Source organism: Homo sapiens, chromosome 2 (genome assembly GCF_000001405.40).
Source record: "Homo sapiens chromosome 2, GRCh38.p14 Primary Assembly".
Taxonomy (NCBI): domain Eukaryota; kingdom Metazoa; phylum Chordata; class Mammalia; order Primates; family Hominidae; genus Homo; species Homo sapiens.
In genome coordinates this window covers 220,818,666-220,833,603 of record NC_000002.12, presented here as the reverse complement: position 1 = coordinate 220,833,603, position 14,938 = coordinate 220,818,666, and the positions used below count along the sequence as shown (strand labels likewise).

Here is a 14,938-nt window from a genome sequence, read left to right as displayed (position 1 = left end):
GCCAAATTTAAAAAAAAAAAAAAAGCAGTTCACATAAGGACCTACAATATTATCCAGGGGACTGGAAAACAGGGCTGATTGTAAGGGAAACTGAAACTTAACAGTTTCAAATTTTGTTCAAACATTAAAATAATTGTGTGTGTGTGTGTGTGTGTGTGTGTATGTGTGTGTTTAAATTACCTATGTGACATAGCCAAGACTGGTCAAATTGTAAAAGTAAAATTAAAAGTGAGTCTTTCTGTAATCCCAGCACTTTGGGAGGCCGAGGCGGGTGGATCACGAGGTCAGGAGATTGAGACCATCCTGGCTAACATGGTGAAACCCCGTCTCTACTAAAAATACAAAAAATTAGCCGGGCGTGGTGGTGGGCGCCTGTAGTCCCAGCTACTCGGGAGGCTGAGGCAGGAGAATGGCGTGAACCTGGGAGGCAGAGGTTGCAGTGAGCGGAGACCGCTCCACTGCACTCCAGCCTGGGTGACAGAGCAAGACTCTGTCCCAAAAAAAGGAAAAAAAAAGTGAGTCTTCTTTTATTCTAAGGTGCCTAATTTTTTCTCTACTTCTATGTCATCTAAACATTATTTCTTCAGTTTATCAAATGTAAGCCATTTGAGCTTTATTGATTCGTCTTATCTCCCTTTATATAGGGTTAAATGAAATATGTATTTCAAGAACCATGGGTGTGTTCTTGGATATAGGGCATCCCAGTTTCCAGTCACCCATTGTAATAATCTAATACCCACCTAAATTTTTCTTACCACATATTTTATTCTGGATTATCCCAAGTGGTCCTCAGCTAATGTGTATTCAAAACATATAGATTTATCTTAATCTTTTTTTTTTTTTTTTTTTTTTTTTTTGAGACTGAGTCTCGCTCTGTCGCCCAGGCTGGAGTGCAGTGGCGCAAATCTCGGCTCACTGCAAGCTCCACCTCCAGGGTTCACGCCATTCTCCTGCCTCAGCCTCCCGAGTAGCTGGGACTACAGGCGCCCGCCACCACGCCCAGCTAATTTTTTGTATTTTTAGTAGAGATGGGGTTTCACCGTGTTAGCCAGGATGGTCTCGATCTCCTGACCTCATGATCCGCCCGCCTCGGCCTCCCAAAGTGCTGGGATTACAGGCGTGAGCCACCGCACCCAGCCGATTTATCTTAATCTTGACCTAAGACAATGATAATTAAAAGATAAGCCTGAAATTAAATTTACAATATATAATGTATTCTAAACCCCAAAGCAGAATGCCTTAGACTAACTAGATGCTTAGATGGGCAGGAGATGTGTGGCAACAACACACGGATTAGAGCCAGCGAGATCCATCCTTAAAGCCTAGGTGCACAACTTATCCACTGTGCAAACTTAATATGTGATCATAGCATAGTCATGATAACTAAAAGAAAGGAGGAATGAAAAGTATTTAGTTTAATCCTTGACAGACAGCAAACACTCCTTAAATAGAAACCCTATAAATCATCATGATTTAAAATTTTCTGTTCTCTTACTATTGCAGATTTTGTTTCTCTGAATTGTTTTGGTTGGGAAATGGTTAAGTATTGTTCATTATCATTGCGGTTTTGGTCATTTTACCATTGAACTGCAAAGGGAGTTGAGGGTCTATATGTCTTTCAAGTACTGTCAATTCACTGAATAAATAAAACCATATATTTCATAAATAATTTTTTCAAGTACATGTGGATGCAATTGTAATTAACAGAATAACAATTTTATTTATTTATTTATTTATTTATTTTATTTTATTTATTTATTTTGAGACGGAGTCTTGCTTTGTGGACCAGGATGGAGTGCAGTGGTGCAATCTCGACTCACTGCAACCTCCACCTCCCAGGATCAAGCAATTCTCCTGTCTCAGCCTCCCGATTAGCTGGTATTACAGGCACACGCCACCACCCCTGGCCAATTTTTTTGTACTTTTAGTAGACATAAGGTTTCACCATATTGGCCAGGCTGGTCTCGAACTCCTGACTTCGTGATCTGCCCACCTCGGCCTCCTAGAGTGCTGGGATTACAGGCATGAGCCACAGTGCCCGGCCACAAATTAAACATGTTAATTGGGCATATAATAGTTGGACTTTAAATATCCATTGCTTGAGAAAATATGTAATCTTACAATACTACAGTGAAGTCCATGATAGTTCTATCATAAAAAAAGAAGTCTTCAAAAGTAAGAAGTCTGGAAATCACTGCTCTAAAAAAAACCATAGAGTGTACAACACCAAAGAGGGAACCCTAATATAAACTATGGACTCTGGGTAGCAATGATGTATCAAAGTAGCTTCATCAATTGCAGCAAACCTACTCTTCTGCAGGAGGATGTTGATAATGGAGGTTAGGCATGGGTGGGAGCATGGGGGAAATAGGAAGTTTCTGTACTTTCCTCTCAATTTTGCTGTGAACCTGAAACTACTCTGAATAATGGTCTTTTTCTTGTAATGGGAAGCAGAGTTTTTAACTTTACACCTTGTGTACCTTTCAAACTTTGAAATGTGTGGTTAGCGATTCATAAACTAAAGTTTGATAATGTTAATTTTTATTAGCATGAAATTGTACTTAACACAAAAAAAACAAAAAATTAAATGTTAGTTTTGTTTAAATATGACTTAAGACTTTTGCTTCATCTAGTGAGGATTTGGCCCACAGATGTCAATTTTGTACTGCAGGTGTCATTATTTCTTTCTTCTGCATCCATGTCAGGTATTAATAATCAAGTGCACCATTCCTTTTCATTGAGTTTAGTCTTAGACTTATTATCCTTTTCAAGAGAATGCTTCAAGCAGCCACTAACAGCCACATGCAGCTGATGCAAAAGATAAAACCTATTTTCTCATCACAGACTGTCTTTCCAATACCCTATTAATGTATACCTCAGCAATAATTCAATAAAAGTTTGGATCTATTTTTAACTTATTTATTTATTTATTGGGTTTTATTTTACTTTAAGTTCTGGGATACAAGTGCAGAACGTGCAGGTTTGTTACCATAGGTATACATGTGCCATGGTGGTTTGCTGCACCCATCAACCTGTCACCTACATTAGGTATTTCTCCTAGTGCTATCCCTCCCCTGACTGGTATGTGATGTTCCCCTCCCTGTGTTTGTGTGTTCTCATTGTTCAACTCCCACTTATGAGTGAGAACATGCGGTGTTTGGTTTTCTGTTCCTGTGTTAGTTTGCTGAGAATGATGGTTTCCAGCTTCATCCATGTCCCTGCAAAGGACATGAACTCATCCTTTTTATGGCTGCATAGTATTCCATGGTGTAGATGTGCCACATTTTCTTTATCCAGTCTATCATTGATGGGCATTTGGGTTGGTTCCAAGTCTTTGCTATTGTGAATAGTGCTGCAATAAACATACATGTGCATGTGTCTTTATAGTGGAATGATTTGTAATCCTTTGGGTGTATACCCAGTTATGGGATTGCTGGGTCACATGGCATTTCTGCTTCTAGATCCTTAAGGAATTGCCACACTGTCTTCCACAACAGTTGAACTAATTTACACTCCCACCAACAGTGTAAAAGCGTTCCTATTTCTCCACATCCTCTCCAGCATCTGTTGTTTCCTGACTTTTTAATGATCACCATTCTAACTGGCATGAGATGGTATCTCATTATGGTTTTGATTTGCATTTCTCTAATGACGAGTGATGAGGAGCTTTTTTTTCATATGTTTGTTGGCTGCATAAATGTCTTCTTTTGAAAAGTGTCTGCTCATATCCTTCACCCACTTTTTGATGGGGTTGTATTTTTCTTGTAAATTTGTTCAAGTTCCTTGTACATTCTGGATATTAGCCCTTTGTCAGGTGGATAGATTGCAAAAATTTTCTCCCATTCTGTAGGTTGCCTGTTCACTCTGATGATAGTTTCTTTTTCTGTGCAGAAGCTCTTAAGTTTATTTAGATCCCATTTGTCTATTTTGGCTTTTGTTGCAATTGCTTTTGGTGTTTTAGACATGAAGTCCTTACCCATGCCTATGTCCTGAATGGTATTGCCTAGGTTTTCTTCTAGGGTTTTTATGGTTGTAGGTCTTACCATTTAAGTCTTTAATCCATCTTGAGTTAATTTTTATATAAGGTGTAAGGAAGGGGCCCAGTTTCAGTTTTCTGCATATGGCTAGTCAGTTTTTCCAACACCGTTTATTAAATGGGGAATCCTTTCCCCATTGCTTGTTTTCGTCAGGTTTGTCAAAGATCAGACATTTGTAGATGTGAGGTGTTATTTCTAAGGCTTCTGTTCTGTTCCATTGGTCTATATACCTGTTTTGGTACCAGTACCATGCTGTTTTGGTTACTGTAGCCTTGTAGTATAGCTTGAAGTCAGGTAGCGTGATGCCTCCAGCTTTGCTCTTTTTGCTTAGGATTGTCTTGGCTATATGGGCTCTTTTTTGGTTCCATATGAAATTTAAAGTAGATTTTCTAATTCTGTGAAGAAAGTCAATGGTATCTTGATGGGGATAGCATTGAATCTATAAATTACTTTAGGCAGTATGGCCATTTTCACGAAATTGATTCTTCCTGTGCATGAGCATGGAATGTTTTTCCATTTGTTTGTGTCCTCTTTTGTTTCTTTGAGCAGTGGTTTGTAGTTCTCCTTGAAGAGGTCCTTCCCATCCCTTGTTAGTTGTATTCTTAGGTATTTTATTCTCTTTGTAGCAATTGTGAATAGGAATTCACTCATGATTTGGCTCTCTGTCTATTGGTGTATAGGAATGCTTGTGATTTTTGCACATTGGCTTTGTATCCTTAGACTTTGCTGAAGTTGCTTATCAGCTTAAGGAGATTTTGGGCTGAGACGATGGGGTTTTCTAAATATACAATCATGTCATCTGCAAACAGAGAAAATTTAACTTCCTCTCTTTCTATTTGTATATCCTTTATTTCTTTCTCTTGCCTGATTGCCCTGGCCAGAACTTCCAATACTATGTTGAATAGGAGTGGTGAGAGTGGGCATTCTTGTTTTGTGCTGGTTTTCAGAGGGAATGCTTCCAGCTTTTGCCCATTCAATATGATATTGGCTGTGGGTTTTGTCGTAAATAGCTCTTATTATTGTGAGATACGTTTTATCAATGCCTAGTTTATTGAGAGTTTTTAATATGAAGGGGTGTTGAATTTTGTCAAAGGCCTTTTCTGCATCTGTTGAGATAGTCACGTGGTTTTTGTCATCAGTTCTGTTTATGTGATGGATTATGTTTATTGATTTGCATATGTTGAACCAGCCTTGCATCCCAGGGATGAAGCCGACTTGATCGTGGTGGATAAGCTTTATAATATGCTGCTGGATTTGCTTTGCCAGTATTTTATTGAGGATTTTCGCATTGATGTTCATGAGGGATATTGGCCTGAAATTTTCTTTTTTTGTTGTGTTTCTGCCAGGTTTTGGTATCAGGATGATGCTGGCCTCATAAAATGAGTTAGGGAGGAGTCCCTCTTTGTCTGTTGTTTGGAATTGTTTCAGAAGGAACGGTACCAGCTTCTCTTTGTACCTCTGGTAAAATTTGGTTGTGAATCCGTCTGGTCCTGGGTTTTTTTGGTTGGTAGGCTATTAATTACTGCCTCAATTTCAGAGCTTGTTATCATATTTTTAACTCCTTAACAACACATGCCAAAGATTATGTTTAGCTATTTTCAAAATATTGCTGCTTCTGAAATACCAAGAAGGTATTAAACATAATCTGAAAACCATAAAAATATATGCATAACACTTTAAAAAGGATAATTAATGAATTGATGAAATGAAAATATAAATTCATGTATAAATATAGATATAAAATCCCTTACAGAGGATATTTATTACATTATCATATAAAACTTCCTGTACATCTGTAACTTTTTATAATTAAAAAAAACTAACTGCAAAAACTTTCTGAGTTTAAAAAATACAGAAATCAGATTGTTATAAATATACAAATCATTTTCTGTAGATCATAAATAACCAATTAGAAAATGGATAAAAATCCAATAACAGCCCCAAATTGGACCTAGACCTATATGAACAAAACTATAAAACTGAAACACAATGTCAAAGAAGATTTGAAGATTTGGAGAGACAGGTCATATTCCCAAAGACAAAACGTGAATATTATAAAAATTCTATTTGTTTCCAAGATAATACATAGAATCCAAAAAACTTCAAGTGAATTTTAAGGATTTTGATGGTGGACAGTAAGGAAGGAGCAGAGATGGCATAGTGAACTATTAATCCATTCAGTCTGCTCTAGCAAAATACTGTAAACTGGGTGGTTTGTAAACCAGAGACATTTTATTTCTCACACTTCTAGAGTCTGGATCAAGATGCTGTCAGATTTGATGTCTGTCTAGGGCCTACCTCCTAGTTCATAGATGGCACCTTCTCATCATTTCCTAGCATGGTAGAAGAACAACTGAGCTCCCCTGGGCCTCTTTTATGAGGCCACTAATTCCACTCATGAAGCCTTCAGATCCAATCACCTCCCAAAGGCCACACCTACTAATCCCATCATCTTTGGCACCAGGATTTCAATGTATGAATTTTGGGAAGACAGAAACATTCATATGATAGCAACAGCTATTCTCAAGTTTTATTTATATAATATTTATATTACATAAAATGTTAGGCTATTGTTATAACATTGAAAAAGAAGAATAAAGGGTGGGGCCTTCTTACCAGGTATTTTTAAACTGCAATAATTAAAATAGTCTTACTATTGCATAAATAGATCAGTAGATCCATGAAATTGATTAGATAACCCAGGAAACACATACACACATATTCACACACAATAGTCATATAAAAATATATAGTCAGAACATATTAGTATATACTAGGTATCTGTTATATATACATTTCATGTATACAGCAATGTTTATAGGCATAATGTATATAAGTGTGTATATACATTTAAATAAGTTTTATATATGGATATTATAAGTATATATAATAAACATAATATATAAATGAATACATAAGGTGTTTTACATAAACAGTTAATAAACTTGGTAAATATGTAATAGAAGAATACTAAACATTGGTGAAAAATGGGATACTTAAACATGCTATAGAAAATTAAGTTATAAGGAAATAAAAACTTTATTTAGAATTCTAGACAACACTATACTCTCAAGAACATTCTAGTACCATGCAAATAATTAAACCATAAAAATCTCACATATAATTATACATTTATGTAGATGAAGAAGTATTTGATAAATATAAAAGGAGAATGAATTATTATAAACCAAAAGGATAAATTTTTGAATTTTTAAAAATTACATTTAAAATTTCATAAATTTTAAAAAATACAAATAATAAATGTTTATGTCTTTCATACCTAAAGAGTTCATTGCCAAGACACCAGCAGAAAAAAAAACCTCCTCCCAAAATACTAATGTAGACAGTTCACCAAAAGCAGATATACAAATAACTAACACCTGTAAATGATAAATTTTCAACTTATTAAGGAAATGCCAAATTTTCAACTTATTATCAAGGAAATGCCAGTTTAAAAGTCAGATACTAACTTTTTCCAATCAAACTAGCAGATTTCAAAAATAGTCATTGATACTAATGAGTGGACACTGACATTGTCATTTTCATATGATACACATGAAAATACGAGTTAGTGCTAACTTCTAGGAAACAATTTGCCAAGTATAGTTAAGAATCTTAAACATTTTTAATAATATTTATGAGGTATGTACCTTTGAGCCAATAATGCTGATTTAAGGGAAAAATCTTAATAGATGTGGACAGTATTTATATATAAAAATTTTTTTACCATAACTTTATATATATGTAGAAATTTGCAACAGCAACAAAAAACATTTCTGGAAAGGTTAAATAAGTTATAGGAATAAATATTATATATTTGAAGGCCTTTTAATGCTGTGAACTACTGCTTATAATATAATGTTGAGCCGGAAAGAAAGATATAAATTATAAACATTTTACAAATGTAAAATGGAATGTTATTTCTATAAATTTGGTAAAGAAAATGACTAGAGGGAAATTTACACAACTGAAGAGTAACCATTTCTGAAGTGGGACATCAGTAATTATTTGTATGTTCTTATAGGTTTCTGTTTTCTGAACTTTCCTCAATAAAGATTTATCACACTTTTAATAAGTATTAAAACAAATATGGAAAATTTCAGACAAATATCCATCTGTCAAATAAGATAAGCTTCCTCATTTGAGGGCATAATAGTTCTAATGAGGACACCAACCTAACATGCTAGGGGAGATGAAATCGCTGCCATGGGTTTGCATTCCTTTGAGGTTCCTGAGTGTGTAATGGTGCCCAGAAAAAGAGAAGACACCCTACTTAGAGGAGGCAAGACTGGAGCTGAGTTCCATTACAAGGGCAGTGAGAAAAGGGAGTTCTAGGGAGAGAGAATACTCATCACAGAAGCCCAGGGACACAGGCAGAGAATTTAGTCTTGGATTGAAGGCAGAAATGTTTTCCACTGAGAAAATGTACCGAGAAAAGAAATGTTGAGTAGGATTGCAGAAGCCTTTGTAGACCAGAGTAGAAAGATGAGAGAGTTGCAATAGACAGCTCTAGTTTCTCTCTTCTCAGAAGAGTTAGCTGGTGGGTTCCACAAAAGGTTACTAGCAAGACTTGGAAAAAAAATGGAAAAAGGTTGGCATGCTCATTCTGAGTAAAGGGAAAAGAGCCTTACTGGTAAAAGTCAAAGGGATGCAGAGAGAAGCTCTGGATACTGGGTATTCAAGGATACACTCATCTGAGAAGCTGGCACAGCATGCTCTGATGAATCCCAACTACTTCTTTACTTCTGTGATTCTAAGGGAACCAGGTGCTCTTTCATCACACCTGGAAGGAAAGCAATTGATATATATTTATTGAGCTGCTACCAAATGGCCACATGGTATCAGATGCCATAATCTTTCTCCTTAGTTGTCACTTTTATTACAAATATTCAGGAACATCACCTGGCCTGAAGCCCTGTTTAGAAAACATGTCAAGAAGCACCCCATACATTATACAGTTCATCTTTACAATGGCAGCACTAAAGAGAAAATATAATGATTCAGGCCAAGAAAGTACTTTTGTGTTATTTTCAACTTGTTATAACTTTGTTATTCTGAATCAAAAGCACATTTGAAAGGATATCCAGAATTAGGTATTATGGTGGGCAAGGAGGCAGTCCCACACAACTTAGCCATTAATTACATAACGTTGTATTGTAAACTGATGATTTCAGGTATACTAATACTGCCCTTCCGATGGCAGACTGTTAATTTCATACCTGCAATGTATTTTATATTCCTTTCCTATCTCTCAAAGCACTTGAAACAGGGCTAAGTCTTTGGAAATTCTTGCATTTTTTTTCACTTCTTTAAACCCAGACTAATTGGAGAGAGAAAGGGAATTAGTCACTGTATTAAATAATCCTTGTTGTTCCTCTTTTGCATTCAGTTGAAAAATTATGCATTTCAATCTGCTTGGAGAAGAGTACAGGCTCTTTTCACAGTGCAATATACTAAGGATCATGAAGATGAATTTCTCTTCTTAAGCTATTGGTGCTGATCAAATAGAGTAGAATAAAGGCTTCAAGGAATTGTGAGGGTAATTAATTTCAGAGCCTGGAGAAAAAGAAAGAAGACAGAGAGAGAGAGGAAGGGAGGGAGGAAGGAAAGAAGGAAGGAAGGAAGGGGAGGAAGGGAGGGAGGGAGGGAAGAAGGAAGGAAGGGGAGGAAAAGGAGGAAGGAGAGGAAGGGGAGGGAGGAAGAAGAGGAAGGGGAGGGAGGAAGGAGAGGAAGGGGAGGAAGGAAGAGGAGGAAGGAAAGGAGGGAGGGAGGGAGGAAGGAAAGGGAGGGAGGAAGGAAAGGAGGGAGGGAGGAAGGAAAGGAGGGAGGGAGGAAGGAAAGGAGGAAGGGAGGAAAGAAAGGAGGGAGGGAGGAAGGAAAGGAGGGAGGGAGGGAGGAAAGGGAGGGAGGAAGGAAAGGAGGAAGGGAGGAAAGAAAGGAGGGAGGGAGGAAGGAAAGGAGGGAGGGAGGGAGGAAAGGAAGGAAGGGAGGGGAGGAAGGGGAGGAAGGAAGGAAGAAGAGGGATGGAGGGAGGTAGGGAGGGAGGGAGGAGGGAAGGAAGGAAATAAGAAAGAAAGAAAGGAAAGAAAGAAAGGAGAGAGAGAAAAGAGAGAAAGGAAAGGAAAGGGAAGAAGGAAAAGGAAGGAAGGAAGGAAGGCTAAACACCATGCATAAAGCAGTAGAGTGGAGAGGCTTGGAGAGGTGGTTCATATATATATATATATTTATTTATTTATTTATTTATTTATTTATTTATTTAATTTTTTGAGACAGAGTCTCACTCTGTCGCCCAGGCTGGAGTGCAGTGGCGCGATCTCGGCTCACTGCAAGCTCCGCCTCTCGGGTTCAAGCCATTCTCCCGCCTCAGCCTCCCGAGTAGCTGGGACCACAGGCGCCCGCCACCACGCCCGGCTAATTTTTTTGTATTTTTAGTAGAGACAGGGTTTCACTGTGTTAGCCAGGGTGGTCTCGATCTCCTGACCTCATGATCCGCCCTCCTCGGCCTCCCAAAGTGCTGGGATTACAGGCGTGAGCCACCGCGCCTGGCCTGAGGTGATTCTTTTTTTTTCTTCTTGAGACGGAGTCTCGCTCTGTCACCCAGGCGGGAGTGCAGTGGCGAGATCCCCGGCTCACTGCAAGCTCCGCCTCCCTGGTTCACGCCATTCTCCTGCCTCAGGTGATTCTTGATGGTCAGAGACTTGGAGCTATTCCTGGCTCTGTCACTTACTCTGTGTGCAACTTGTTTTCGCAATTTGCAGCTTTGCAGGGGATTCTGTGGCATAATCTCTTAATAATTGGCAAAACCATAGGTTGCCAGAATCATGAAATTTTAGATATACATGATATTTGGGACATCATCTAGTCCAAACATTATATTTTCAAATGAAATAATTCAAGCCCAGGAGGAAGAGGATCTTATACAAGGTCTAGTTTGTATCAGGAAATTGTTGTCTGAGGATAAGCAAGTAGCAGAGACTTGCCTGGAGGGACAGATGAGGAAGGGGATCAGGGAGAAGAAGGCGGTACTTGAAACAAGATTAAGAGGGGGAAAAAAAAACTGAAAGGAATCACGAAGGATGACAAAAGCAAGAGATAAAAGCAACTCAAAGGCTCGAGCACTGGCATTAGTGGTATTGCTTCCAAAAGAAAAAAAATAAATAAAGGAAGTACATTTCATTTACTTCTCTAACCTAGGCAATAAATTGTGATTTTACTCTATTGTTTTAAGCATTTTGCAACAAAATTAAAATCAAAACCAATTTTTAAAAAACCTGCATTTTCTAGAAATTTCATATACATTTTTGGTGCTGTTGGAACAATTGCAGGGACAACCTAGTGTTGGGTCCATGATGAAATTTCCAGCTCCAAACAACAAATTTTACCCATTTGTGTATTTTACCAACATATATATGCATTATAAATTTTGTCCTACTGTATTTTTTCTTTATTGCATTTCAACAAAAAGATGATAAACAACAAGAACACATTGTTTATGTCAAGGGCACACAGGAGCCAATTGAAAGATCTCTCAATGGCCAAAAATGGACCAAGTTGAGCAACAAAATAAATGAAGTAGTGTTGGATTATAAGCTGAATATAAATAAATATTCATGAGTCCACAAGGATATAAATAAACCATTGAATAAACAAATGAGGATGAATAGACAAATTCCCATGCAGAAGAATTTCAAATTATTTATGTAGATACTCTTGCCCTCAAGGAGGTGGAGAATAACATCTCACTCCTAAAGTGTGGGCTATAATAATATCTTTCCAAAGAGGATAGGGTGGAAAAGGAAGGAGAAAAAAGTAATGTTAAGGGAGAGAAACCTGACGAACACTACCTCAGTCAAGTGATCAAGATTAACATCAACAGAGATCACTCATATTGTTCATATATACCCTTTGTGAGATATAATGAGAATGGCTATTTATTTATCTTATCTTTATTTTTTGAGACAAGGTTTCACTTCCATCACCCAGAGTGAAGTACAATGGTGCAATCTTGGCTCACTGCAACCTTCGCCTCCCGGGCTCAAGTTATTCTCCTGCCTTAGCCTCCCAAGTAGCTGGAACTACAGGTGTCTGCCATCACGCCTGGCTAATTTTTGTAGTTTTTGTAGAGATGGGGGTCTCACTATGTTGACTAGGCTGGTCTCAAACTCCTGGCCTCAAGCGATCCACCCACCTCGGCCTCCTCCCAAAATGCTGGGATTACAGGGATGAGCCACCATGCCCAGCTGAAAATGGCCTTTTAATTCTGTGTGTTTTCTTCCCAAAATCTATAATCACAGCCTAATTATGAGAAAAACCATCAGACAAATTCAACTGAGAGAAAAACCTACAAGATTCCTATCAAAGTCATCTAAAAGAAGGAAAGTTTGTGACACTGTCCATGCAAGAGGAACCTAAGAAGCAATGATGACTAAATGTGGTTTGTTATCCTCTGCAGGGTCGGAGAAAGGACATTAGTAAAATCTTAAAATGGCTGAATAAAATATGGCCTGTAGTGAATAATAATATATAAATATTAGTTTGTTAATTGTGACAAATATACCATGCTAATAAAACTGCTGATAATAAGGGAGACTGGGTGTGAGGTACACAGGACGTCTCTGTACTGCCTTTGCAACTTTTCTGTAAATCTAAATAGATTCCAAAATATTAGGTTTATTTTAAAAAATTAAAAGGTCCTTATTTAGTTGTAAAATAACGTTAACATTGTCTAAATAATTCAACTTGCTTCTTGTCAAATCTTACCTCCCTCACCCCTACTGGGAGTTTCATTAGTATTTTGCATGAATGCCTAGCTGGGTACACATAAAGAAAGAATCAATCCCATTTTTTATCTTTTGACTTGAGAATGGGTTTTCTGACATTTCAACAGAAGAACGGATGTTCAAAAACAAACCAAAATGGCCAAATGTTATTGTACTTTCTGAACCTCAGACAACATGGGCTGGAATATGACCTGAGTCTGTAAGTTTAATGCCTTGAAGAGGAGTTATCCTCCAGAGGACTATAAATATATACGACTGCAGAGTGAACAGAATTTTTTTGAAAGCTGGTCTAGCTAAAAATCTAAAATAGACCATAAGATTGCAAATGTGAATGTAGCTTGACTACAGTCTCCAAGGTACAGAAGAAGAGAAAGACACTAAAAACTGTGGGATAACGAGACACGTTGAGATTACATCCTTGGCTAATAATTTTCCTTTTGCCTGATACTTTCCCTCCTGATATTTGAAAGACATAGGGAATAAAATTTAATTGAAAATGGGAATTCCTAATGTAATTTAAATTCTCAATACACAAATGAGTGTATCAGGAAAATTTTACTAATCTTTAATGTTGCTAAAATAAGAAAAAGGTAAACCCCAGTTATATTATATACAAGTCTTTTGTATCCCTAGAGAGTTACAACAATACCAAAATCAAAACCAAGATGGCGGAGAAGGGCTTTTCCTTGGCTCCTTTTGGAGCAGGTTCCAGGGGACAGTCCAAGACAGAGATCGTAAGTCAGTTCATTTGTCATTTAGATAACAGAGTATTGTATTTTTTTTGAAGTAGGTAATTAGTGCAGTTTAATTTATGGATATATTTCAAGGTTTTCTCTTTTTTAGTAGAGGCGAGATTCCTGTGTTCCTCAAACAAATTTAATGTGGAAATTTTCATGATAAAATTTGAACATAAAAGACCATTTTGCTAATCCTAGTCTAAAATTGTTTTATATTCCTTTATCTAGAAAAATGATATTATACAAAGGAATTCTGAGTTATCTAGATAATTTGGCATGTAATCTTTTGGAGACAGAAAGTACCCATCATAGAAATGCTATTTAAACTTCAGTTACTGGGAGTCCTAGCAGTGTGAGGCATGCCCTTCCTCTGGAAGCAAGTGGAAATATGACAGGCCCTAGAGAGAAGGACATTTGAAGAATATAATGATGTTTTCACACATGCTTGAGACTTAGCCACTGATTCCTTGCAATAGCATCTGATCATAGTCTTCATGCTTCATAATTTAAAAACAGAGCACTTTAACTCTCTCCCTCTCTCTCCATCTGCCTGATTCTACTTAAACTTTCAGGTGTATACTTAACATCAATTGCTCCAAGAGGCCTTTTTTGAACCTCTAAACTATGGCAGCTTCTCTCTTACACACACACACACACACACACACAAACAGTACAGTATTTATTTTGAAATTTCGAAATCACATGTTAAATGTTTGTCCAACTCTTTAAAGCCATAAATTGCAATAATTCTGCTGCTTGCCATGATGATGTAACTGATCAAGACTACCCTCTCCCATTAAAAAAAGAACATAAAATTTGAGAAATTATGAGGCAACTATTTCCGTACATTAAAAAAAAAAGTCTACGTAAGATTGTGATCTTTGAGAAAAGGGAATAAACATGAGTTTAGCGTCATGTTTGCTTACTCTGGCTTTCTTCCTGGGAATACATTCTAAACCAGTGCGCACAGAAGTAGATCTCAGGCAGAGTGAGGTGGTCTTGCTGAGCCAAGAAGGCTGAGATTTAAATATGGTGTTGCTGGAAGGGATGGAAATAGTAGAGCCAAGGAGAAAGGAGCTCAGGAAAAGTCTGCATAAGAGTTTCCAGTAGGTTCTGGACTGAAGGTTGAGCTGTGCCTTCATAGGGAGAGAACTCACAAAGCCAAGGAGAAGGTGGCAGCACCTGCTACAGGACTGAGAGCTTCACAGTGGTAGATGATTTTTGCATAGAACTGGAAGATGATGGAGGTCTGGTCCAACCAGTGTGTTCGTGGATTGGAAGACTCAATGTTATTAACAGTTAAGATAACAATTCTCACCAAATTGATGTACAGATTTAATGAAATCCTAGTTGCAACCAAAGCAACTGTTTTTACCAAAATGGG

General features: G+C 37.5%; 1 long non-coding RNA gene across 2 annotated transcripts in view; it reads right to left on the bottom strand.

Moving 5' to 3' along the window:
* Positions 1 to 7,312: 7,312 nt before the first annotated feature.
* LOC105373896 (uncharacterized) overlaps positions 7,313 to 14,938 on the bottom strand; it is an 86,007-nt gene continuing 78,381 nt past the window's right edge. Inside the window, exons 4-5 of one of the 2 annotated variants that reach the window (XR_001739893.1) lie at positions 8,726 to 8,820; positions 7,313 to 7,417 (exon numbers count right to left, since the gene is read on the bottom strand). This is a non-coding gene — a long non-coding RNA (uncharacterized LOC105373896). Of the gene's footprint in view, positions 8,821 to 14,938 lie in introns of both variants that reach the window. The other variant, XR_001739891.1, reaches the window with a different exon arrangement.